Source organism: Homo sapiens, chromosome 10 (genome assembly GCF_000001405.40).
Source record: "Homo sapiens chromosome 10, GRCh38.p14 Primary Assembly".
In the NCBI taxonomy this organism is placed as follows: domain Eukaryota; kingdom Metazoa; phylum Chordata; class Mammalia; order Primates; family Hominidae; genus Homo; species Homo sapiens.
The window spans coordinates 73579532-73606757 of record NC_000010.11 but is presented as its reverse complement, the minus strand read 5'-3'; the positions used below and the strand labels follow the sequence as shown (position 1 = coordinate 73606757).

At 41.5% G+C, this 27226-nt stretch overlaps 1 protein-coding gene across 26 annotated transcripts in view, besides 1 other annotated feature; it reads left to right on the top strand.

Moving 5' to 3' along the window:
* Positions 1 to 27226, top strand: part of USP54 (ubiquitin specific peptidase 54) — a 128444-nt gene that overhangs the window by 19224 nt on the left and 81994 nt on the right. For 10 of the 26 annotated variants that reach the window (NR_146998.2, NR_146997.2, NR_165443.1 and 7 more), the window contains exon 1: positions 15416 to 15480. The exons of 15 other annotated variants lie outside the window; for them this stretch is intronic. The gene's annotated coding sequence lies outside the window, so the exon portion shown is untranslated. Of the gene's footprint in view, positions 1 to 5136; positions 5227 to 15415; positions 15481 to 27226 lie in introns of those variants that run through there. One more of the 26 variants, NM_001378209.1, reaches the window with a different exon arrangement.
* Positions 14383 to 15133: an enhancer, noted in NCBI's record as "NANOG-H3K27ac hESC enhancer chr10:75351383-75352133 (GRCh37/hg19 assembly coordinates)". NCBI's record gives its function as "activates a minimal SCP1, AML or CMV promoter by ChIP-STARR-seq in primed H9 embryonic stem cells {active_cell/tissue: H9 hESC(primed)}" and the evidence as "EXISTENCE:reporter gene assay evidence [ECO:0000049][PMID:30033119]".

The window sequence follows — 27226 nt, the reverse complement described above, 5'->3', positions numbered from 1 at the left end:
GCAGGTGCCCGCCACCACACCTGGCTAATTTTTTTGTATTTTTAGTAGAGACAGGGTTTCACCGTGTTAGCCAGGATGGTCTCGATCTCCTGACCTTGTGATCTGCCCACCTCGGCCTCCCAAAGTGCTGGGATTACAGGCGTGAGCCACTGCGCCCGGCGCCTATTAGTCCTTTTCAACAAATATCACTAGTAAGGCTTGAATTGTTTTTTGAAATGAGAAAAGCAGCAGATTGTTTATTTGAATTTGAATTTAGAGTGTTTCTCTCTCAACATCTTATACTGATCAGGCTAAGAGATGGGCTCTCCTGTGTTGCCCAGGCTGTACTCGAACTCCTAGGCTCAAGTAATTCCTTCCCACCTCAGCCTCCTGATTGGCTGGGACTACAGGTGAGCAGCATCACACCCCACTTTGTGTTTTGATTAGTTCTCTTTATTTTTTAAAAAATTGTGGTAAAATACACATAATATTTATCATCTTAACCATTTTAAGTGTACAGTTCAGTAGTGTTGCATACATTCACATTGTTGTGCAGCCAATCTTCAGCACTCTCATTTTTTTTTTTTTTTTTTTTTTTTTTTTGAGACAGCCTCACTCTGTCGCCCAGGCTGGAGTGCAGTGGGGTGATCTCAGCTCACTGCAACCTCTGCCTCCTGGGTTCAAGTGATTCTCCTACTTCAGCCTCCCGAGTGGCTGGGATTACAGGACTGTACCACCACGCCTGGCTAATTTTTGTATTTTTAGTAAAGACAGGGTTTCACCATGTTGGCCAGGCTGGTCTTGAACTCCTGACATTGGGTGATCCACCCGCCTTGGCCTCCACAAGTGCTGGGATTACAGGTGTGCGCTACCACACCTGCCCACCCTGTTTCATCTCATAAAACTGAGACTCCAAATCCATTAAACACCCCCCGATTCCTCCTTCCCCAAAGTGCCTAGCCACCACCATCCAACTTTCTGTTTCAATGAATTTGACTATTCTTCATGCCTCATATAATGGAGTCATTGGTATTTGTCCTGTTGTGACTGGCTTATTTCACGTAGTATAATGTCCTCAAGTTCATCTGTGTTGTAGCATGTATCAGATTTTCCTTCCTTTTTAAGGCTGAATCAGTTCTATGTATGTACCACATTTTGCTTACCTGTTCTCTTAGGTGGCTCCTACCTGTTGTCTATTGTCAATAATGTTGCTATGAACATGGGTATACAATTATCTCTTTATTTATTTTTTGAGACAGAGTCTTGCTCTGTTGCCCAGGCTGGAATGCAGTGGCACAATCATGGCTCACTGCAGTATCGATATTCTGGGCTCAAGTGATCCTTTCACCTCAGCTTCCCAAGTAGCTGAGACTACAGGCACACACCACCACATCCAACTAATTAAAAAAAAAATTGGCTAGGTGCAGTGGCTCACACCTGTAATCCCAGCACTTTGGGAGGCCAAGGTGGGCGGATCATGAGGTCAGGAGATGGAGACCATCCTGCCTAACATGGTAAAACCCCGTCTCTACTAAAAATACAAAAAATTAGCCAGGCATGGTGGCGGGGGCCTGTAGTCCCAGTGAGAGGTGAAGCCAGCTGGACCTCCTGGGTCGAGTGGGGACTTGGAGAACTTTTCTGTCTAGCTAGAGGATTGTAAACACAGCAATCAGTGCTCTGTGTCTAGCTAAAGGATTGTAAATGCACCAATCAGCACTCCGTGTCTAGCTAAAGGATTGTAAATGCATCATTCAGCACTCTGTAAAAATGGACCAATCAGTACTCTGTAAAATGGACCGATCAGCAGGACGTGGGTGGGGACAAATATGGGAATAAAAGCTGTCCACCCCAGCTAGCAGCGGCAACCCGCTTGGGTCACCTTCCACACTGTGGAAGCTTTGTTCTTTTGCTCTTCAAAATAAATCTTGCTGCTGCTCACTCTTTGGGTCTGTGCCACCTTTAAGAGCTGTAACACTCATCGTGAAGATCTGCGGCTTCGTTCTTGAAGTCAGCGAGACCAAGAACCCACTGGAAGGAACCAACTCTGGACACACCAGCTGCTTGGGAGGCTGAGGCAGGAGAATGGCGTGAATCAGGGAGGCGGAGCTTGCAGTGAGCCAAGATTGCACCACTGCACTCCAGCCTCGGCAACAATGCGAGACTCTGTCTCAAAAAAAAAAAAAAAATTTGTGGAGATGGAGTCTCACTATGTTGCCCAGCCTTGTCTCAAACTCATGAGATCAAGCAATCCTGCCTCAGCCTCCCAAAATACTGGGATTACGTGTGTGAGCCAATGTGCCTGGCAAGTTATCTCTTTGAGAGCATACTTTCAGTTCTTTTGGATATGTAACCAAAAGTAGAATTGCTGGATCATATGTCATTTTATTTTAATTTTGAAGAACTATCATACTAATTTTCATACTGGCTATACCATTTGACATTCTTACCAATGTGCACAAGGATACCAATTTCTCCACGTTCTTGCCAACACTGTTTTTTTTGTTTTGTGTGTGGTTTTGTTTTGTTTTTTTGAGATGGACTCTCGCTCTGTCGCCCAGGCTGGAGTCAGTGGTGCGATCTCGGCTCACTGCAACCTCTGCCTCCTGGGTTCAAGCGATTCTCCTGCCTCAGCCTCCTGAGTAGCTGGGACTACAGGTGTGCACCACCACACACGGCTAATTTTTGTATTTTTAGTACAGACAGGGTTTCACCACATTGGCCAGGCTGGTCTCGAACTCCTGACCTCATGATCTGCCCCCTTCGTCCTTCCAAAGTGCTGGGATTACAGGTGTGAGCCACTGTGCCTGGCCACCTTTTTTTTTAATAGTAGCCATCCTAATAAGTGTGAGGTGATATCTCACTGTGGTTTTGATTTATTTTCCCTAATGATTAGTGAACTTGAGTGTCTTTTCCTGTGTTCATTGGCCATTGGTGTATCTTCTTTGGAGAAATGTCTGTTCAAGTTCTTTATTTTTTAATTGTATTTTGTTGTTGTTGACTTGTAGTTTTTTTTTTTGTTGTTTTTGTTTTTGAGACAGGGTCTCACTCTGTCACCCAGGCTGGAGTTGAGTGGTGTGATCTCGGCTCACTGCCACCTCTGCCTCCCGGGTTAAAGTGCTTCTCCTGCCTCAGCTTCCCAAGCAGCTGGCATTACAGGTGTGCGCCACCACGCCTGATTAACTTTTTTGCATTTTTAGTAGAGACAGGGCTTAATAGAGACAGGTTTAGTAGAGATGGGGTTTCGCCATGTTGGCCAAGCTGGTCTCAAACTCCTGGCCTCAAATGATCTGCCCGCCTTGGCCACCCAAAGTGCTGGCATTACAGATGTGAGCCACTGCACATGGCAGGAGGTCTTTATATATTGTGGATATTAGCCCCTTATCAGAATAATGATTTACAAATATTTTCTCCCATCTCATGGGTTGTCCTTTCTCTTTTCCTTTGATTCACAGTTCTGTTTTTTAAAAATTTTATTATATATTTTCTAAGACATTTAAAAGAATAACACAGTAAACATCTTTATAATCGCCATCCAGCAAATTAAATATTAGTAAATTGGTTTGCTCCCGAGTTTCCCCTTATTGATTACAAGTCCCTCACCAAAGGTAACCACTAATGAATTTGATTTTTCTCTGACATAGTTTATACTCCTTAGACAGCCTGTTAGCGTATTAGAAGCTTGTGATGACTGAAGTAAAAATACTGCAAAGGTCCTGGGGAAGGCTAATTAGGGTGGGATGAGTTCTTTCTTAGATTTTTGTGATGCTGTTTTCAAAAGCCCAGTTCAGCACCCTATCAGAGATACTTGCACATAATAGGTGTATAGAAATGTTTGTTGAATAACTATTTGGAACCCATGTACTTCTGATTGAAGATATTTTGTACCACTATTATACTATTTTTTTTTTTTTTTTTTTTTTTTTGAGACAGAGTCTTGCTCTGTCGCCCAGGCTGGAGTGCAGTGGTGCGATCTCAGCTCACTGCAACCTCCACCTCCTGAGTTCAAGCAGTTCTCCTGTCTCAGTCTCCCAAGTAGCTGGGACTACAGGCGCACACCACCACGCCTGGCTAATTTTTGTATTTTTATTAGAGACAGGTTTTCACCTTGGTCAGGCTGGCCTTGAACTCCTGACCTCAGGTGATCCACCCGCCTTGGCCTCCCAAAGTTCTGGGATTATAGGCATGAGCCACAGTGCCTGGCCACTATTATACTATTTTTTTTTTTTGAATCAGAGTCTTGCTCTGTTACCCAGGCTGGAGTGCAGTAGCATGATCTCAGCTTACTGCAAGCTCTGCCTCCTGGGTTCACGCCATTCTCCTGCCTCAGCCTCCTGAGTAGCTGGGACTACAGATGCCCGCCACCACGCCCGGCTAATTTTTTTATAATTTTAGTAGAGATGGGGTTTCACAGTGTTAGCCAGAATGGTCTTGATCTCCTGACCTCGTGATCTGCCCACCTCGGCCTCCCAAAGTGCTGGGATTACAGGCATGAGCCACCGTGCCCGGCTATTATACTATTTTTTCATGAAGTGAAGTTTACATATCTCTGTATTAGGATTACTGTATACTTTACCAATAAATAGACTGCTATGGCAGAATAAAGGTTTTCTTAGAGGTAGTAAAACTGAGGGCAAACCTGAGTTGGGAACATTTTAGCTCTAAATACATACAGTACATTTAGCTGCCTTGGCTAATTTAACTTTTAGACAGGGCAAATGGAATAAGGCAGATGTTGAGGTGCTACATTGTTGGTTCAGAAAAATGGTTGTGAGTTTTGAAAGAAGGCATGATTCTGGTAAGATCTGACTGTGGGCAAGGGGCTGTTGAAACAAACAGTGCAGTGTTTCCAGGGCAGTGGTGAAGGACTTGACCTCCGTTGTAGCTGAAAATGAAGTCCTTCTCTAACAAAGCCATAGTAGCAGCAGCAGCAGCTGTTGCCACTGCCACCTGCGTTCAGTGGCTGTGTGAGGTGGCTAGACCAGGAAATGATTCCATGGCACTAGGCATGTATAAGGAAAGACTTACTTTGGCTCTGGCAAAGTGGTTGTACAGGTTGTGGGTGTCACTTTAAACATACAAAGATCTGCTTGCTGGAGGAGGGGCAGCTTCTTGAGGATCAGGTGTGCATCTGAAAGGGATGAGCTCATCCTTCTAACCAGACCTGCTCTAGACGCTGACTGAATGTTTTCCTAGTTCCAAGTCCTGCAGCTGGGAGAAGCAGGAAATGATTGACACTTCAGGCACTTGGTGAGTAGCAAAAAGGAAAAAAAAAAAAGGCATTTTTGGGGAAGCTTTTGAAATGTGTGTGTGAGTATCAGGTTGAAGGTGACATACACATTCAGTCTTTCTCTAAGTTGAGGATTGCAGTAAAGTGTATGGTGGTATTGAGGAAAGCAAAGCTTAGGTGGTTCTAACTTTATTCTACTGCTTCTTTTTGAGGTGACTTTCCATGACTTAACAATTTTGTTTCCTACACTGTCTTGACTGGTTTCATTTCTCTAGGAAATAAGAATCCCAGGAGCTCCTTTTTTATTTTCAAGGATCTTCATGACTTGTTTTGGAGCTTTTATTGATGGAACTTACCCCACATTAGAAGACTTCTGTGTTGGATTTCAGAGCTCCTATACATGATCCTGTTTTGTTTTAATTTACCCAAACTTTCCTATTCACTTTAAGTAAGGTTCTTAAACATGAAATTGGTTTAGAAAAGAAATATCATTTATTATTTATTTGTAACCTTTATTTTAGGTTCCAGGGTACATGCGCAGGTTTGCTATATAGGTAAACTGCATGTTACAGGGGTTTGATGTACAAATTATTTCATCATCCAGGTAATAAGCATAGTACCTGATAGGTAGTTTTTTGAGATAGAGTTTCACTCTTGTCACCCAGGCTGGAGTGCAGTGGCGCGATCCCGGCTCACTGCAACCTCCGCCCCCCGGGTTCAAGCGATTCTCCTGCCTCGGCCTCCTGAGTAGCTGGGATTACAGGTGACCGCCACCACACCCAGCTAATTTTTGTATTTTTGGTAGAGATGGGGTTTCACCATGTTGGCCAGGCTGGTCTCGAACTCTTAACCTCAGGTGATCCGCCTGCCTCAGCCTCCCGAAGTGCTGGCATTATAGGCGCGAGCCCCTGCGCCTGGCCCCTGATAGGTAGTTTTTTGACTCTCACCCTCCTTCCACCTTCTATCCTCAAGTAGGCCCCAATTGTTTATTATTTTGAATGGAACTTTTTATCTTGAGATAATTCTAGATTTATACAGAGTTAAAATAAATAATAATATTGACCTGATGTACCATTTACCTCATTTCCTCCAATGGCAATATCTTCCAAAATTATAGTACAATTTTACAACTGGGGTATTGATGTTGATACAGTCAAGGTACCAAATATTTTCATCACCACAGGATCTACCATGTCCTTTTATAGCTACCCCCACTTCCCTTCCACCCCTACACCTTTCTTAACTCCTGTCAACCGCTAATTAAAAAATCAATTTTTAGCAGAGAAAATTTTATGTGCAATCCTGAGAAGTTCTGTATTAAAGATCCACATGGCCTTATGAAAAGAGCCCTTGGGCCGGGCGCGGTTGCTCACAAGTGTAATCCCAGCACTTGGGAGGCCAAGGCGGGCAGATCACCTGAAGTCAGGAGTTCGAGGCAGCCTGACAAACATGGAGAAACCCCGTCTCTACTAAAAATACAAAATTAGCTGAGCGTGGTGGTGCATGCCTGTAATCCCAGCAACTCGGGAGGTTGAGACAGGAGAATCGCTTGAACCCAGGAGGCAGAGGTTGCAGTGAGCCAAGATCACGCCATTGCACTCCAGCCTGGGCAAAAAGAGCGAAACTCTATCTCAAAAAAAAAAAAAAAAAAAGCCCAAAGTGCAATCGATTTTGGTTCATTGTAGCTCTTTACCTTGGGCAAATAATTTTAATTTCTCTGTGCTTCAGTTTCCTTATCTGTAAAATGGGATAGTGGTATATTAACCTGTTTTGCAGGATTTTTGAGAAATTGTAAAACTCTTACAAAAAATAAATATATAGATTATTATTAGCAGCAGAGATAATTGTTTTCAAACTGGAAAGTATATAGCAAGTTAAAAACTGGAAACTGTAGCCTAAGATGGTAAGAGTGAACATTTTTAAATGAATTTAAGTCTTAAGGCTGAAATGAATTACATTTCGGGGTGCTGAATTAACTGGCTGATGATCTCAGAGCCACTGTCTTTGAGAAACCATAAAGACTAGAGAGAGACAAATGTCTTTATATCCAAAAAGAGGAAAGGAAAGTAGTTGGAAAACCATAGACATGTAAAATTGTTAAATCTTGGGAAAATTCAATTATAAAGGACTAAACATGATATGCAGTATTAAGGAGAAAAAAGAGTATGGGTTGATTGATCATAACAAATTACTTCTGTTTCTATTTTTGAATTTCATTACTTCTATTTAGGATTAAGAGGTTTGTGGATCAGGGGATTGTTCTACATATAGTGAGTCAAAATCCCGTCAGTTTCACCGTCTTTCATGTGGCTGATAATGTAGTGATACAAATTTCATTGATTGGTTAAGTGAATGTGTCAGACATCGAATAACTGTATCCACTGATCATCTTGATTTTACCAGGAAGATCCTGGTAGGTTATTCTTATTTTTTCCATGGGCAGTCAGTCTGCATGGGTTATTTTATTTTTTTTGAGACGGAGTCTTGCTCTGTTGCCCAGGCTGGAATGCAGTGGCGTGATCTCGGCTCACTGCAACCTCCCCTTCCTGGGTTCCAACGATTCTCCTGCCTCAGCCTCCCAAGTAGCTGGGACTACAGGCATGCGCCACCAAACCCAGCTAATTTGTTTGTTTGAGACAGAGTCTCTCTCTGTCGCCAGGCTGGAGTGCAGTGGCGCTCTGTTGGCTCACTGCAACCTCCATCTCCTGGGTTCAAGCGATTCTCCTGCCTCAGCCTCCCAAGTAGCTGGGACTACAGATGCACGCTGCCACGCCCAGCTAATTTTTATTTTTATTTTTATTTTTAGTAGAGATGCGGTTTCACCATGTTGGCCAGGCTGGTCTCAATCTCCTGACCTCGTGATCCACCCGCCTCGGCCTCCCAAAGTGCTGGGATTACAGGTGTGAGCCGCTGTGCCTGACCAATTTTTGTATTTTTAGTAGAGATTGGGTTTCACCATATTGGCCAGGCTGGTCTTCAACTCCTGACCTTGTTGTGATCGGCCTTCTCGGCCTCCCAAAATGCTGGGAGTACAGGCGTGAGCCACTGTGCCCGGTCAAAAGTTTTAATTTTGATGAAGTCCAATTTATGTATTTTTTTCTTTTGTTACTTGTGTGGTGTCTTTGCCTAACCCAGGGTCATGAAGATTTATGTCTATGTTTTCTTCTAAAAGTTTTATAGTTTGAGCTCATTCATTTAAGTTTTTGATCCATTTTGAATTAATTTTTGCATATGGTGTGAGATAGGAGTCCAACTTTTTCTCTTGCATATGGGGGATATTCAATTATTCCAGCACTATTTATTAAAAGACTACAGTAGTTTCTCCTTATCCATGAAGGATATGTTGCAAGACCTCCAGTGGATGCCTGGAACCATGAATAGTACTGAACCTGACAGCTGTTAATTGGAACATAATTCTGTTCATTTCTTCCACCCACAAATTTAGTGCCTTTTCCAACCTTTTTTTTGAGATGGAGTCTTGCTCTGTTGCCCAGGCTGGAGTGCAGTGGCGTGATCTCGGCTCACTGCAACCTCTGCCTCCGGGGATTCAGGTGATTCTCCTGCCTCAGCCTCCCGAGTAGCTGGGATTACGGGTCCCCACCACCATGCCCAGCTAATTTTATATATTTAGTAGAGACAGGGTTTCACCAAGTTGGCCAGGCTGCTCTTGAACTCCTAACCTCAGGTGATCCACCCGCTTTGGCCTCCCAAAGTGTTGGGATTACAGGAGTGAGCCACCACACCTGGCCGCCTTTTCCATCTTAACTAAGCACTTATATAACCACTGAATGGGTTCATTCTGCCCATTGCCCCAATACAGCTGATTTATCAAGACAGGAGAATAGCAATGGAGAAAGAGTTTAATTCACATAGAGCTGGCCGCACAGGAGACCAGAGTTTAATTATTACTCAAATCAGTCTCCCAGAATATTCCAGGATTGGGGTTTTTAAGGCTACTTTGGTGGTTAGAGGGCCAGAGAGTGGGGAGTGTTGATTGCTTAGGTCAGCAATGAAATCACAGGGAGTCAAAGCTGTCCTTTTACACTGAGTCAGTTCCTGGGTAGGACCACAAGACCAGATGAGACAGTTTATTAATCTGGATGGTGCCAGGTGATCCATTGAGTTCAGGGTTTGAAAAATATCTTGAGCACCAATCTTAGGTTTTACATTAGTGATGTTATCCCTAGGAGCAGTTAGGGAGGTGTAGAACCTTGGGGCCTTTAGCTGCATGATTCCTAAAGCATAATTTCTAATCTTGTAGCAATTTGTTAGTCCTGCAAAGGCAGTCTAGTCCCCAGGCAAGAAGAGGGTTTGTTCTGGGAAAGGGCTGTGTTTTTGTCTTTGTTTCAAAGTTAAACTATAAGTTCCTCCCAAAGTTAGTTCGCTTTATGTCCAGGAATGAACAAGGACAGCTTGGAAGTTAGAAGCAACAGGGAGTCAAGTAAGTCAGATCTCTTTCACTGTAATAATTTTCTCAGTTATAATTTTTGCAAAGGTGGTTTCACTTACCATGAACTATGGCCATGACTTTTTGCAGTTTGAGGTGTGACAGTAAAACTAGCATGAATTTCCTTTCCTTCTTCACAATGTCATGCATGGATTTGTTCTTATGGTAGACCTTAGCAGCTTTAGTGTATGATTCTTTTTCTTTCCTTATTAAGTCGATAACTTTCACTTTTTCACTTAAAGGAAGCACCTTATGGCTTCTCTATGGCCTGTTAAATTGCCAGTATCACTACTCTTGCATTTGGGAATATTATTAAGTAAAATAAAGTTACTTGAACATAAACACTGAGAAACCCTTTATTCCTTTTTTTTTTTTTTTTTTTTTGAGACAGGATCTCACTCTGTCCAACTCAGACTGGAGTGCGATGGCCTGATCTCAGCTCACTGCAACCTCCACCTCCCAGGCTCAAGTGATTCTCCTGCCCCAGCCTCCTGAGTAGCTGGGATTACAGGCGCGTACCACTACTGCCTGGCTGATTTTTTTTTTGAGACAGAGTCTCACTCTGTCACCCAGGCTGGAGTGCAGTGGTGCGATCTCGGCTCACTGCAAGCTCCGCCTCTCGGGTTCACACCATTCTCCTGCCTCAGCCTCCCGAGTAGCTGGGACTACAGGCGCCCGCCACTACGCCTGGCTAATTTTTTTTGTATTTTTAGTAGAGACAGGGTTTCACTATGTTAGCCAGGATGGTCTTGATCTCCTGACCTTGTGATCTGCCCGCCTCGGCCTCCCAAACTGCTGGGATTACAGGTGTGAGCCACCGTGCCCAGCCTAATTTTTGTATTTTTAGTAGAGATGGGGTTTCACCATGTTGGTCAGGCTGGTCTTGAACTCCTGACCTCAAATGATCTGTCCACCTTGGCCTCCCAAAGTGATGGGATTATAGGCGTGAGCCACTGCACCCGGCCTGTTTTTTTTGTTTTGTTTTTTTTTTTTGAGATGGAGTCTTGGCTCTGTTGCCCAGGCTGGAGTGCGGTGGCACCATCTCAGCTCACTGCAACCTCCGCCTCCTGGGTTCAAGCGATTCTCCTGCCTCAACCTCCTGAGTAGCTGGGATTACAGGCACACGCCACCATGCCCAGCTAATTGTTGTATTTTTAGTCAAGACGGGTTTTTCACCATGTTGGCCAGGCTGGTCTCAAAATCCTAACCTCAAGAGATCCGCCTGCCTTGGCCTCTCAAAGTGTTGGGATTACAGGCGTGAGCCACCGCGCCCGGCTGATTACTTTCTGTAAGACTAGCATTTAGGTAATTCTTTGGTGTGCTTGAGAGGGATTTTCATACTCTTCTTGCTTTCTAGGAGCTTTAAGTCCAGTCCAAGACTTTTAAAAACCCTTGTTCTATAGACAGGGTGGTTAATGTTCATAATGACATAATGCTATTTGATATACTTTTTAGAATTATGCAAGATATAGTTAAATAAATGAATTTAAACAATAATGATGCTATAATTAGAAGCCCAAATGTGTGGCCCCTATCTCCCTCTCTTCTTTAGAGTCCATTTATATGAGAAATATAGAGATTTCTTGTATGATTTTGCTGCTCAGGTCTGTGATTAACAGCCAAAGTTTCTCCAAAATGTATTCTTTGGATCAGTTTTTTTCTCTTCCCTCTACCCTTTCTGCAATATTCCTCTTCTCAGTAATGCATACTTGAGTGAAACAACCAGCTCTTTAAGGTACACATGCTCTGCCAACATTGTGAATAAATCTCAGAATAAAAACTAGAGTCACCTCTGATTGCACAGGGATTGCACCTGTGACTAGCCACTGCACTCCAGCCTGGGCAACATAGTGAGACTCTGTCTTTAAAAGAAAACACCAGTGGGGCTTGGTGGCTCACGCCTGTAATCCCAGCACTTTGGGAGGCTGAGGTGGGTGGATCACCTGAGGTCAGGAGTTTGAGACCAGCCTCGCCAACATGGTGAAACTCCATCTCTACTCAAAATACAAAAATTAGCCAGGTGTGGTGGTGTGCACCTGTAATCCCAGCTACTCTGGAGGCTGAGGTAGGAGAATCACTTGAACCCGGGAGGCAGAGATTGCAGTGAGCTGAGATTATGGCACTATACTCCAGCCTGGGTGACAGAGTGAGACTCTGTCTTCAAACAAAACCAAGATTAAAAAAAAAAAGTTAAAAAAAAACCCACTAGACTCAAATTAGTTATGTAGTTTTCCCTGTTTTTCATCTACTTCATGGTATATTCTTCCTTACAACCTAGAGTCAAAGGCTAGAATATTTTCTCTTAGGTTCCTTATTAGCTAAGATCAAGTCCGTCTCTAATTTTTGTTTGCTAGAACTCCAGTTTAACAGCTCTGAATTAAGCTTCCCCTCTCCCCAGGATCAAATGATAAAGGCTTTCATTTGATATAAAGCAGTCTCTTCCCCACCCCTCCCCACCCCAATCCTCCAGTTTATTTAAAAGTCTCAGCCTAGGTAACATACTAAGACCCTGTCTCCAAAAATCTTTAAAAAATTAGCTGGGTCTGGTTGTACACACCTGTAGTCCCAGCTACTCGGGAGGCTGAGGGTAGAAGATTGCATGAACCCAGGAATTTGAGGGTTCAGTGAGCTGTGATCACACCACTGCATCCAGCCTGGGCAACAGAGGAAGAACCTGTCTCTTAAAAAGTTCCCAAATTTTGTCACTACATTCTAAAATCTAGAGTCTTTTATTGGCTGGGCACAGTGGCTCACACCTGTAATCCCAGCACTTTGAGAGGCTGAGTCAGGTGGATCACTTGAGGTCAGGAGTTCGAGACCAGTCTGGCCAACATGGTGAAGCCCCATCTCTACTAAAAATACAAAAACTAGCTGGGTGTAGTGGCACCTACCTGTAATCCCAGCTACTGAAGAGGCTGAAGCAGGAGAATCACTTGAACCTGGGAAGTGGAGGTTGCAGTGAACCGAGATCGTGTCACTGCACTCCAGCCTGGGTGACAGAGCAAGACTTGGACTCAAAAAAAAAAAGAGTCTTTTATTTTCCAATCTCGTGTTCCTACTGCGGAGCCACTCAGTTCCTGCCTTTACTGCCGACATCAGCATTATCATTAGCATCTCAGAAATAAAAGACAATGATGGTTTGACTTTGGGGTTACTCCAGAGGGAGTTATTTTGGTTTTTCTTAGAGAAATCCTCTGTTTCTCTTTTATGACTTTTAAGAGAAGCAAAATGTTCTTTCAATGCATTGAACATTCTGTTGTACCTTACTCTATTTGCTAGTAGAAACCAATAATGAAAAGCTACGGAATGTGACCAAATAGGACTTTTCAGCCTGTGCTTTTCCATTACCCTCCCCACTACCCTCCAAGGATTTTTCTTGATTGATTTACTCAAATCCTAAATATTGTTTCTCCTTGCTAATAATATTTATATTTTTTCAGAGACCTTTGTCTATTCTGGTCTAAGGTGGACCTATTGTGGTGTTACATATTCCCTGCAAAGTACTTGAAAAATATGACTTGTTAAGTTTTGTTGAAGCACAGTTTTACAAAGTACTGTTGTAACTAGTCATCCAACTTTAGAATACCTGAACATTTAAACTAAAACCCTATTTTAAAAAATAATAATCTGAAACACTATGTATCACTCTCCCTCTTGACGTAGTTAGCAATCATGTACCCAAAACCTTTTCTTTCTATTTTTATTTTTCCTTTTTTTTTTTTTTTTTTGAGACAGGGTCTTGCTCTGTGGCCCAGACTGGAGTGCAGCGACACAATCACTGCTCACTGGGGCCTTGACCTCCTGGGCTCAAGGGATCCTCCCACCTCAGCCTGGAGTAACTGGGACCAGAGAGGTGCGTGCCACCACACCAGGCTAATTAAAAACTTTCTTTCTTTCTTTTTTTTTTTTGTAGAGAAGGGGCCTCCCTGTGTTGCCCAGGCTGGTCTTGAACTCCTGGGCTCAAATGATCCTCCCGCAATGGCCTCCCAAAATGCTGGGATTACAGGCGTGAGCCCCTGCACCCGGCCTATAAAACCTTTTCTACAGGCAGTTTGACACTCACCTAACAAAAACTTGTAGTTACCCAATTTATTTTGAATGGCGAAGCCCAGTGGTTGATACAGGGTTCTCTTTCTATTTGGCACAGAACCTCTTGTGCAGTCTTGAAGAGGGAATAAGAAATGTCTGAAAATAACTTATGCAAGGCAGAATGTGAGTATCATAGCAGAGTTTTATGGGAGGTGTTTTCTGAGGGGCCTCTGGAGAGATTACAATCTATTAGAGTGAGATTTCCCTGTGGATCACTTCCCTTACCTGGATGAGACATGAAAAGTAATGTTGTCTAGTTGTAATCAGGGTTGAAGCTCTGTAACTCTGTCCCAGTACTCTAGTTTTATTTGATTAGTTTCACAATGAATATATACCTATATTTTAATGACTTGATTGAAGAGCTTGGTCTTGATGTTTGTATGTCTTTATTTGCAGTCAGCACTTATCAGTAGAAATTTTGTGTTTCACACTTTGAAATGGCATTACTACCTCCTCCTCCACCTAGCACCACTAGGAGACCTGAGTTAGAATGCTAATGGTTAACAAGAAAAGCAACAGTATCTTTTTTTTTTTTTTTTTTTTTGTGGCACTTTCCTTGTGGCCAAAGGACTACTTCAATTTAATATACTGTATTGTTAAAATGTAAGAGCTTAATTAGTTTTGGACATTGCCCATGTTTGTTAAATTTTACCAATAAATCTTAATTACATCTTTTTTTTAGTCAACTCGTATATTTTCTCTCAACCTATAGAAACACAACAGACCTTCATATTTGGCAAGGATTCTGCTGATGAGTTTTTTTCATCAGTATGCTTATAAAACAACTTCTTTCAATAAAACTGTTTTATAACCTCAGGTAATACATAGAAGGGTGTGTGTTGGTCCTCTGGGGCCTTTGTGCCCTGCCTGCAAATGCAAGTTCTCGGTTGACTGATCACATGTTTGGGGGTGGGACTCTGCCTGCTGTTTGTTCTTGGTGATGTAACTAGGTCTCTTCCCCGAGAGAGGGGTGGAGATCTTTCCCTGTTGTGGACTTTGGGGTTGAGAACCCTTAGATCCCAAGCATTTTAAAATTGACTCAGTAGATTCCAATGGCTCAGTTTAAATAATAATTTTCTTTAATAGTGTGGCTCGTTTAAGACAGTTGGAGGAGTTTTGCCTATTAAAATGATTTGATTTAATTTAAGCCCAGTCTTGGAATTCTGAATTAGGGATTCCAACAATAACATTGTTTTGATTATTCTGTAAACAACTACAAAAATGTTGTCTTCTCGTGCTCCTTTTGACTGCAGTGCAAAGGAATTTTTTTGTGGGGGACTGGCCCTTCTTTGGAAGCAGCAGCCACCCTGCAAACCTTATTGTTTAATGACCTTTGTCATCAGGAATGCCCCAGGAAACAGCTTCATAATTGTTTTTCTTAAGCCTCAGGTGAAGTTTGTGATAACGTCCTTTCAAGTTACTTTTGGTTAGTTTCTTAAGTTTACTTTGTTTTTAATTGGAAGCTCCACCTTTTTAACTTTGTCATGAATTGTCAGTGCTGAGTTCCTGGTAGTTGGTAAAAAGAATTGCCTTCTCTCTGATATCCTGTTCTGCGGGAAGTCCTTGTGGTTTAGATTCACAGTTTCTCATTGTTGCTAGCTACAGTCGTCTCCTCCCTCCTAGCCTTCCCTCCCCACAGCTCTAGCTATTCCCATATCCCTCCCCATTCTTGTATCACTTGCCCCACAGATACCCTCGTGATTAGAGGTCTTTTGCTGGAGGTTGACTGTGCTGTCTGGTAAGTATTGTAGTTGTTGTGGTAAAAACAGATAGATAGAAGATTCAGGAACCGGTTAGTTTTTGTGAAGTTTTCTTTCTTTTAAAAAAAATATTCCCAAGCACTGATTAATAAGCTATTTCTTTTAATAGCAGTAGATTAAACTTTGAAATTGAGATTTTAGGACTCTCAACTTTCAAGAGGCATCTTTCAAGCTGTTGTTTGTGCTCTTTCCCCCTCCTCTCTGTTACAATTATTAGATTTTGGAGATTTCATATTTTTTCCAAAAAAAAAAAATTCATAGATTTTCTTGAGTTCCTTAGAATTAAAGGCAAGAATTGTGGATTTAGTATTTTAAATTTCCTTCAAACAGAAGAAGGTTATTTGTGATTTCTTTATACCTATTTTCAGTATTAACATACTGGTTAAAGTAGTAATGAAGAAAAAAGAGCCTATTTTGTGGCTAAATTGGAAAGTAGCTGAATGATTCTTTTTTCCTATCAGCAGAATAGTGTTGGCAAAATCCACTAAGATTTTGGCAATATGTTGTCAATTCTAAGAGATGGTTTGCCAAGTACTTCAGGTTAACAGATGCTTCTGGGAATGATTTTTGGGAAGTTAGATAAATTTGTTCATTAGCACCTGCTTCCTTGAGGCATGAGGCCTATGATCCTTTTGAAAGTAAAATATTTAATATTTGATATTTAGATTGAGTCAAATATCACTTTCATAATGGGCTATTTCCTTGCGTTTTGTGTTTTGAGCTTCTAAGAATATTTGTGTGTGTATTAAAAAAAAATTTTTTTTTGGATACTGGATGGTTGATACTTTGGTATTTCAAGCAGTTATAAGTGATGAGCTTTGGATTCTCCCAAACTACTGCTAGTTAGAAGTCATCTTTATGGTAGATGATGTGAGAGGAAACTTGTTTCTGGGATTTCATTGCTGTTCAGTTGAGGCACTTATTCAAATGATGGTTGTATTCGTACAGTAATGATTTCTTGAGCTCCTAATATGAGGTAAGTGCTGGGTCCTTGCTAAGTGCTTTGCATTTACTTCTAATTCCCAGTACAACCTGGCCAGGTAGTAGTATTGTCCCTCTACAAAGCGGCTATACATAGGTAGAAAGAACATGGGTTTTCTTTCCTGCAAAGTGAGAAAAATAATCACTATTTGGCAGGTTAATTGTGAGAATTAGAGGATATACCATGTGTCCAGTGCCTAGCGCAGTGCCAAACATGTAGTTTGTATTCACTAAGTGGGCTACCATTATTATAATTTTACACCTGATGAAAGAGGATAAGTAATCTGCTGAAGGTCACTCAATTGTAAGTGGTAGAGCTAGGATGTGAACTGGCTCAAAGTGTGAAGTCTGGTAGCATGTTTTCATTTGAGTATTGTAAAGGCTGTTAGAGTAGATTTCATTCCTTCTCATCCCTTCACCTCCTGCCCCTACAGAGGAAATCTTCTTTATAGATATTCTCCTTTCTTTGGTATCCTCTGTCGCCCTCCCAGTCAGTCATGTGCTTGCTCTCTCACACTGGAGTTGCTTGTGCCATTCAGTACCAGTGTTCTCCCAACAGAAATGAGTCAAGCCAGTGCTGTCAGTTTGCTTCCCCTCCTTTTTTCCTCTTGTTGATAGCACTGTCATACTTTCATTATTGTTTGTACTGAAATAATTTGAGTACGGGTATATTTATAATGATTAATAAATAATGCATTGATGGAATCAAGTGTTTAAAAAGTCTTAGTGATTCATAAAATTCGGGATAAAAATCTCTGGTTCTAAATGATTAAATCAGAAGGTTATTATATAGGGTAACTTTCTGGAACTCATTGTTTTGCTATCCAGGGGCCTAATAAATTGCTATTGATTTTTGTTCCTTTAACCACTGCTATTACTAGTTTGCTACTATTGGCAGTAGGGTTTAGAAAGAACATTTCGTTTGTCCTACTGACCATAAAATAGAGTATCTTTCTTCTGTAGACCTTTTGGAAGCGCAAGGTATGATTTAGATGCGATATGATTTTGGCAGGAGATTCAGGGACAAGCTAAAGAGCTGTTTGGTTATGCCTGTAACTGAGTTATCTCTAAACGGAAAAATGTGAGTTTGATTGGTCTCATGAAACTTAGTTCTTCATTTATTTGTTTAACAAGGAATGAGCATTTGTTGAGTGTAAGGCAATGTAACTTTCTACCTTGTATTCTAATAAAGTATTGATATACTGGTTAAATATTGATTCATGATGTTCCTGGGAGGGAGAGAGAAGTCCCAGTTGGTGTGGAGAGGTATTTAAAAAGACAATCATTTGGGAAATGAATTAATGTAAATGACTGCTCCTTCCTGCTGATGTATGACTATTAGTAGTTCCTATCACTGTAAGTAGCCAGTGGTATGACTTCTTCAAATAGGTTTGCTCAGTGGAAAAGATTGCTAGTATTAGGTAGGACTGGGAAGATGGGAGGAGCATTCGTTGATTGAGAAATACAAAAAACAAAGTAACTGGGCATGTGCACAGAACAAATCTTTTTGTATGTTTTAAGGGTAGATGAGGTTGGAAATGTGCAGGGGATAAGATTGTGGAAGGCCATTCAAAGCCAGAGTTTTGGCTGTATTTTGTCACTGAAGTTTTCTAAGCTAATTGTGATTCATCAGTTTGCTTTTGCAATATTGTATAGATGGGATTAGAGAGGAAAGAATAGTTAGAAAGTTTCTGCAATAGTCTGGGTGAATTGTATTGAGAATGCACTGGTTTTAGAATACATTTTTCCCAGGCTGGGCGCGGTGGCTCACGCCTGTAATCGCAGCACTTTGGGAGGCTGAGGTGGGCGGATCGCTTGAGGTCAGGAGTTTGAGACCAGCCTGGCCAACATGGTGAAACCCCATCTTTACTAAAAATACAAAAATTAGCTGGGCGTGGTGGCACACACCTGTAATCCCAGCCACTATGGATGGAGGCTGAGACAGGAGAATTGCTTGAGTCTGCGAGGCGGAGGTTGCGGTGAGCCAAGATCACGCCACTGTACTCCAGCCTGGGTGACTGCGAGACTCCGTCTCAAAAAACAAAAACAAAAACAAAAAACAACAACAACAAAGGATACATTTAAGAAAAAAAAAAGGATACACTTTTCCCCATTTTTTATATGGCCTTGGGATTTATGCTATCAATTATAGTTTAATCTCCTGAAATTTTTATAGTAGTTATATGTGTGTGTGTGTTTGCCTGTAAGAGAAAGAGAGATGGGGGAGAGATAATGCATATAGAGGATGGTCAGTCATCATAATCACAGTTACTCTTTATGGAATTCCTGTTTTGTACCTGGCCCTAAGTATTCTGCGTACATTATTTTGTTGCATCCTTTCAGCAGATCACATTTATTATAGGTAGTAAATGGCCTGAATGTGATGGAGCTAGGATTGGAATGTAGATTCATCTTATTCTTCATCATCATTATCCTCACCATAATCATCATCAAAACATTTATTCCACACTTACCACATATTAGGCACTGGGCTAATTATACGTATCTACATTATTTTATTTAATTCTTATAACAATCCTATGAGATAGATGTTATTATTAGTCACATTTTTTCTGATGAAGTACCTAAGAGTTAGTTCAATAACTTGGTCAATATGCCACAGCTGTTAGATGGTGGAGCTGAGACCTGTTCTATTCCACTAACTCTGTGTCCCCAAGTTGTATAATTCACATAATGTTCTCTAGGAATGGGACCCTTTGGATCTCCACTAAAAGCATGTTACCTCCCGAGGTTCTGCAATATTGTTGGCCCTGCAGAGGGTGCACTTTTTGTTTTTTTTGAGATGGAGTCTCGCTCTGTTGCCCAGGCTGGAGTGCAGTGGCGCAGTCTCGGCTCACTGCAAGCTCCGCCTCCCAGGTTCACGCCATTCTCCTGCCTCATCCTCCCGAGTAGCTGGGACCACAGGTGCTCGCCACCACACCCGGCTAATTTTTTTGTGTTTTTTAGTAGAGACGGGGTTTCACCGTGTTAGCCAGGATGGTCTCGATCTCCTGACCTTGTGATCTACTTGCCTCAGCCTCCCAAAGTGCTGGGATTACAGGAGTGAGCCACTGCACCCGGCCTGCAGAGGGTATACTTTTAACCACTATGTTCTTTCTACTACCATGCTGCTTCCTTTAGAAGTCAGTAAATTATACAACTTTAGATCTTTATAAGGAAGGGCTAAGTAGCCTGCAGCTGTCATTTCTTAGTTCTTATAATTTGTCAATTATAACAAAGTGAAACGTGCCTTTTTGTTTTCTTTCCAACTACTTTTTAACAAATTTTAGACAAATTTGTTATACATGACAGTTATCTAAGTTCTTGTGCAGGAAAAATAAGACTTTTTGTCCTTTATCAGCATACAATTCTTCTGTTGTACATGATGTAATAGTTTGAAGCTGCCAAAGTCCAGCCCTCAGGAAATTGTTTGAGTTGAGTAACTATTCGCTGGAGAGTTTAAGATAACCAGCTCATAAATCAACAAATAGCTTGGCCCTTTTTATGGTTGTAGATGCTTATCTCTTTCTATTTTCAAGCTTGAATCAGAAGCAAATATTGTTTCCATTTATATAGTCACTATTAGAAAAAGTTGTCAGCAGTATCTCAAGCTAGATAAGGCCATTTTGTGAGTTCTTTTCTTTAAGGAGAGTCAGAATTTATCAGGATGTTAGAATTGGTTGTTCTAGGCTAGGTACCTTCAAACAAAAAGTTTTCTCTTTCAATGAAACTGTCAGTGATTCAATGCCTATTATATTCAACCTCTGTGTGGAATTAGAAAGATGCCCTTAAGACAAAATGTAGTCCACGTACCCAAATAACTGTAACATGAGGGAGAATGTGAGTATTGTAATCCAAACCCCACCATGCACTGAGAGCACAGAGGAGGATGAAATAAATTGGGAGATTGGAAAGGTGAGAGGGTGAGAGAATGATCTGGGAAGGCTTTTCCTTGTAGGATAGTTAAGATTTTCAGCAAGAATAAATGGAGAGGAAAGGCATTCCAGAGAGAGGCAATATTAGAGTCAAGACAATGAGAAAGTAAAGGACAGGGTATATTTGTTATAAAGAAAGGAGTCTAGTGTACTTGGAGTGGAGGATGAGTGAGAGGCACATAATGGATGATCAATGAAATGTTTGATCAGTGAGTGAATGAGTAGATGAAGCTGGAAATGGTGGTAAGGTCCGGTGATTCTCAAACTTTACGCTGGTGCCAGACATATTTAATTCTATCTTATAATTAGGAATTAATTTTTTTTTTCTTTGAGCTGGAGTCTTGCTCTGTCACCAGGCTAGAGTGCAGTGGTGCGATCTTGGCTCACTGCAACCTCTGCCTCCCGGGTTCAAGATTCTCCTGCCTCAGCCTCCTGGGACTACAGGCACGCGCCACCACGCCCAGCTAATTTTTGTATTTTTAGTAGAGACGGGGTTTCACCATGTTGGCCAGGATGATCTTGATCTCTTGACCTCGTGATCTGCCCACCTCAGCCTCCTAAAATGCTGGGATTACAGGTGTGAGCCACTGTGCCTGGCCAGGAATTAATTTTATTGGCAGAATATGTGAATATCAAAAATATGCAGCATAAAAATCACAATCATGAACATGATTCAGTGATATGATTTGGATGTTTGTTCCCTCAAATCTAATGCTGAAATGTGATCCCCAATGTTGGGGCCTAGTGGAAGGTATTAGATCATGGGGGTGGATCCCTCATGAATAGCTCAGTGATGAGTGAGTTCTCACTCAGTTAATTCACACAAGATCTGGTTGTTTAAGAGAGCCTGAGACCTCTCCCTTGTCTCTCTCGCCATGTGACACCTGGGCTTCCCTTTGCGGTCTGTCATGATCGTAAGCTCCCTGAGGCCTTGCCAGAAGCTGAGCAGATGCTGGTGCCATGCTTCCCATACACAGTGCAGAACCATTAGCTGATTAACTTCTTTTCTTTATAAATTACCCAGCCTTGGGTATTTCTTTATAGCAGTGCAAACATGGCTTAACACTGTCAGTTAGGAAAAAAGGTGTTAAAATAGTTCCAATTGACTGCTTTGATTTTTTTCCCTCTTAATTTTGCTACTATTTGTTCAAGTTTCTGTAGTGCTAGCAGTAGACTAAGTAGGTAAGAAAAAATTATGGTAGAGAAACTTATGAAAAATCCATCTATTAATTTTCTTTCCTGTGAATTAGAAAAATACCATTGTTCTTTTCCAGCCAAAAGAATATCTCCCTCTAGGAGCCATTAAATATTTTGAAAAGGAGTGACATGGTGTGGAATGTGTTTTAGGAGTCAGGTGGTAGTGACATGTAGGATTAGAGGACTGGCAATGAGTCAGTAATGTGGTGCAGTGGTCCAGATGTGGTGAGGATCTGAACCTTAGTAGCAGCAGCAGTGAAAATAGAATGAAAGGAAATAGAGATCCACACCAGGCCCTCTGTTTCTAAATAGGAAATAGTTACCAATTATTAACCAGCTTTCATATTGTTAGGATATTACGGGTCTCAATGGTCGGTTATCTCTGGTCTCAAGTCCTTTCACTCTATTTTTAGGGAAAATGTGTTTAAACCCCTATTTTAAGGAAATGATAGTTTATAGATTATTTATAAATTATAGTTAATTTAGAAAATAGAAAAAAGGAAAAAAATCCATAATTTCATCATCCTAACAAGACCGCTATCATTTTACATTTACTTACCCCGATGTTGCTGAGTTTTAAACTTCTCTGTTAATTCATTCTGCGCACATTTAGCTCTGAGAAACAGGTTTCTGAACTAATAAAACACCCAATAATTGCCATACTGTGATATTAAACAGTAAACCAAGAGGTTTCACATATAACCCTCAGTGGATTGTAGGATCACAAACTACGTCAACGTCTCTTCTTTTTTTTTTGAGACAAAGTCTCACTCCATTGCCAGGCTGGAGTGCAGTGGCGTGATCTTGGCTCACTGCAACCTCCGACTCCCTGGTTCAAGCAATTCTCCTGCCTCAGCCTCCCGAGTAGCTGGGATTACAGGCACATGCCACCACGCCCGGCTAATTTTTGTATTTTTAGTACAGATGGGGTTTCACTATGTTGGCCAGACTGGTCTCGAGCTCCTGACCTCGTGATCTGTCCGCCTCGGCCTCCCAAAGTGTTGGCATTACAGGCGTGAGCCACTGTGCCCGTTCACATCTCTTCTTTTCCTATAAATCAATCTTGGTCCATCTACCTTTAGACATATAAATATTTATTTCCCAAATGCCTCAATCCCTTTTGGGCCCAAAGTTCCATCTTCTTCAGTGAATTATTTGCATAATTTAAAATGTTTTTTATTTTGAATTTATAGAAAAGTTGGAAAAATAGTTACCTCTAATGATACCATCTTATATAACCATAATACATTTATCAGAACCAGGAATTAATAGTATTGGTATAACACTATTAACTAAAGAGCTTTCCTGAATTTCACCAGTTTGCCTACCATTATTATTTTTCCTTTTTTATTTTCAGTTTTTTTAAATTGTAATTTATTTTTTTTTTATTTTTAAAGACAGGGTCTTGCTTTGTCACCCTGGCTGGAGTGCAGTGGCACAGTCATAGCTCACTACAGGCTTGAATTTCCAGGCTCAAAAAGTCCTCCTGCCTCACCCTTCTGAGTAGCTGGGACTACAGGCAAGCATTAGCCTGGCTAATTAAAAAAAATTTTTTTTGGCCAGGTGCAGTGGCTCACGCCTGTAATCCCAGCACTTTGGGAGGCTGAGGCGGGCGGATCACCCGAGGTCAGCAGTTTGAGACCAGCCTGGCCAACATAGTGAAACCCCATCTTTACTGAAAATACAAAAATTAGCTGGGCGTGGTGGCAGGCGCCTGTAATCCCAGCTACTCCAGAGGCTGAGGCAGGAGGATTGCTTGAACCCAGGTGACTGAGGTTGCAGTAAGCCAAGATCGCGCCATTTTACTCCAGCCTGGGTGACAAGTGAGAAACTTTGTTTCAAAAAAAAATTTTCTTTGTTTTGTAGAGACAGGGTTTCGCCATCTTGCACAAGCTGCATTGTTCTTTTTCTGTTCCAGGATCCTATCTGGAATCTCACATTGCATTTTAGGTGTTTTTCTTCCTTACTCTTCTGTATTCTGTAAAAGTTTCTTAGTCTTTCTTTGTCTTTTATAACCTTGACATTTTTGTAGAGTATTGATCAATATCAGTTTGAGGGCTATTTGTCAAATATTCCTTAATTTGGATTTGTCTGATATTTTTCTGATGATTGGACTGAGATTATGGTTTAGGCAAGAATACCACAGAAATAATTGTGTCCTTTTCAGTGCATCATATCATGGCATTCATGATGTCAATATGTATTATTACTGGTTATTTTGACCTTGATCACTTGGTTAAGGTAGTTTCTGCTGGGTTTCTCCATTGTGAAACTACTATATTTTCCTTTGTAGTTAATAAATGCCTTAGTGGAGATACTTTGATACTGTCATTTTTATTAATGTCATGGAGTTCTCTACACATGCAATTAATAGTGTCTCCTTAAAGACTTTATTGAACTTTAGTTACTGTGAAGTCAATTAGCTTAAAGAGTCCATCTCCTTGGATGGGCGCAGTGGTTCACGCCTGTGCCACCGCATGGTTCACAACTTTGGGAGGCCGAGGTGGGTGGATCACTTGAGGCCAGGAGTTCAAGACCAGCCTGGCCAACATGGCGAAACTCTGTCTCTACTAAAAGTACAAAAATAGCCAGGCATGGTGGCGCATGCCTGTAATCCCAGCTACTCGGGAGGCTGAGGTAGGAGAATTGCTTGAACCCGGGAGGTGGAGGTGGCTGTTGCAGTGAGCCAAGATCGCATCACTGCACTCCAGCCTGGGTGACAGAGCGAGACTCTGTCTCAAAAAAAAAAAAAAGTCCTTCTCCTTAGAAACTTCCCACACTTTACACCTGGTTTTATCAAAGGGTTCCCAGGCTTTGCACGAACAAATTCTATCTAGTCTTCATTGATTTCAGTTCCATTCTAGCTCTGCTCATAATGAATCTCTTATGCTAATAACCTGTAGCTCTCTGGGCCTCATTTACCCCTCTGTCTCTTAGGGCGCCAGGCTCCTCCTGGCCCAGTGTCCTTCCAGGCCTCATCTCCCTTTATGCACAAGCCAGTTCCTTTGAATGACTGCTTTGGGTTTTTTCCGAAACAGGCTGAGAGAAGCTGACTTTGTTGGTGAAGAATACAGTGGGGGATAATTAGGGTGGCTGCAGCTGGAGCCTGGTTTATTACTTTGGCCTGAGAAAAATGGTAGCACATTAAGCTGTACTGTGTATACTTGTGAAAGAATCATTCTCTGTATTTCACTAATACAGAGAAAGTGTTTTTTTCTAAAGGTCACCAGCTTCTAGAGGTATGTCTTTAATTCTGGCAACCTTAATCTGTAATGATCTTTTCAATTTAGCCCTGTTGACTGTGGAGTTACTTGCTGTGAGCACAAGAATCCAAAATCCAAATGTGGACCAAATATTATATTTAGATCTATTTAGTTCAAACAAATTTTATACAGTGAATAACATTAGATGTTTCTTTGATTAATAAAATACAAATTTATTAGTATTACTGAATTCAAAGTAGCTTTTTGAATTATGTATTTTCTCAAGTGACATATACTATAAAAGCCCCATTTATGTAATGTGGATGGGGCAGACTTAGATTCTCTGACACTTGAAGCTTATGCAATTCAGAGGGCCTCCTTTAAGGAAAATATTTTTTGAAACAGAAAATGAGATATTGGGCCTTGAGAATCTGTGCAAGAGAAAGAGTCCTGAAGCTTAAGTTTCAGTGGCTTGGTAAATCTGCCTCTGGATGTGAGGCACTGCAAAAAGGTTGAGACCCACTGTTTTCCATCATTTCATACATGGAAAGGTTTTTGGCTTACCCACAGGAGGCTAGTGTTTTCAGATTGGGAACAGTGGGACATATAACTTAGTAACTGTGTTACACAAGGAAATACGTAATAAGATGACATGCTTCCATCCCAATTTTGGCTTTTACTTTCCTAGAAGTTTACCATGTTGCCCACGCTCACCTCGAACTCCAGGCCTCAAGTGATCCACCAGCCTTGTCCTCCCATTCTGGGATTTTAGGCATGAGCTACCATGCCCAGCCCAATTTTTTATTTCTTTATGGTAAAATACCTAGGAGTAGGATTGGTAGGTAAAAGTATGGCAAAAGTGCAGCCATGTTTTGCTTAACAACAGGGATGTGTTCTGAGAAATGTGGTGTTAGGTGGTTTTGTCATTGTGTGAATATCATTTAAGTGTATTTGCATAAACCTAGATGGTATAGCCTACTACACACCTAGACTATACGATATAGCCTACTGCTGCTATGCTACAAACCTGTATAGGATGTTACTGTACTAAATATAATAGATGCCAGGCACGGTGGCTCACACCTGTAATCCCAGCACTTTGGGAGGCTGAGGCGGGAGGATCACCTGAAGTCAGGAGTTGGAGACCAGCATGGTCAACATGGTGAAACACCATCTCTACTAAATACAAAAATACAAAAAATAGCTGAGCGTGATGGTGCGTGCCTGTAATCCCAGCTACTCGGGAGGCTGAGGCAGGAAAATCGCTTGAGCCCGGGAGGCAGAGGTTGCAGTGAGCCAAGATCACACCATTGCGCTCCAGCCTGGGCAAGAAGAGCGAAACTCCATCTCAAAAATAAATAAATAAATAAATAAAATAAGCAATTGTAACACAATAGTAATAGATGTGCACCTAAACATATCTAAACATAGAAAAGTTACAGTAAAAATAAGGTAAGTCCCATAATCCCATAATTTTATGGGACTACCATTGTATATGCGGTCTCTTCTTGACTGAAACATTGTTATACAGCTCATGACTATATATTTAAGTTTAGAAGTAACTGCCAAGTGTGTCATTTTGCATTTCTTTTTCTTTTTCTTTCTTTTTTTTTTTTTTTTTGAAATGGGGTCTTTCTCTGTTGCCTAGGTTGGAGTGCAGTGGCTTGATCTCGGCTCACTGCAATGTCCACCTCCTGGTTTCAAGCAATTCTCCTGCCTCAATGCCCCCTAGGAGCTGGGATTATAGGTGCCTGCCATTGGCTAATTTTTGTATTTTTAGTAGAGACAGGGTTTCACCATGTTGGCCAGGCTGGTCTTGAACTCCTGATCCAAGGTGATCCACCCGCCTCAGCCTCCCAAAGTGCTGGGATTACAGGCGTGAACTACTGCACCTGGCCTGTTTTGCATTTCCATAAACAATGTAGGAGAGTTCCAGTTGCTCTGATTCCTCATCGGCACTTGTTATTGTCAGGTTTAAAAAGTTTTTTTGTTTTTGTTTTTAACTATTCTAATAGGTGTATAGTGTAGTTTTAATTTCCATTTCCCTCATGGCTAATAATGTTGAACATCTTTCCATGTGCTTATTTACCATTTGTATATCTTGTTTGGTGAAATGTTCAAATCTTTTGCCCATTAAACAAAATTGGGTAGTTTTTTTTTGTTGTTGTTGTTGTTGTTTTTTTGAGATGGAGTCTTGCCGTGTCATCCAGGCTGGAGTGCAGTGGTGCAATCCCAGCTTACTGCAACCTCCACCTCCCGGGTTCAAGCGATTCTCCTGCCTCAGCCTCCCAAGTAGCTGAGATTACAGATGTCTGCCACCACACCCAGCTAATTTTTTTGTAATTTTAATAGAGATGGGGTTTCACCATGTTGGCCAGGTTGGTTTTGAACTCCTGACCTCAAGTGAT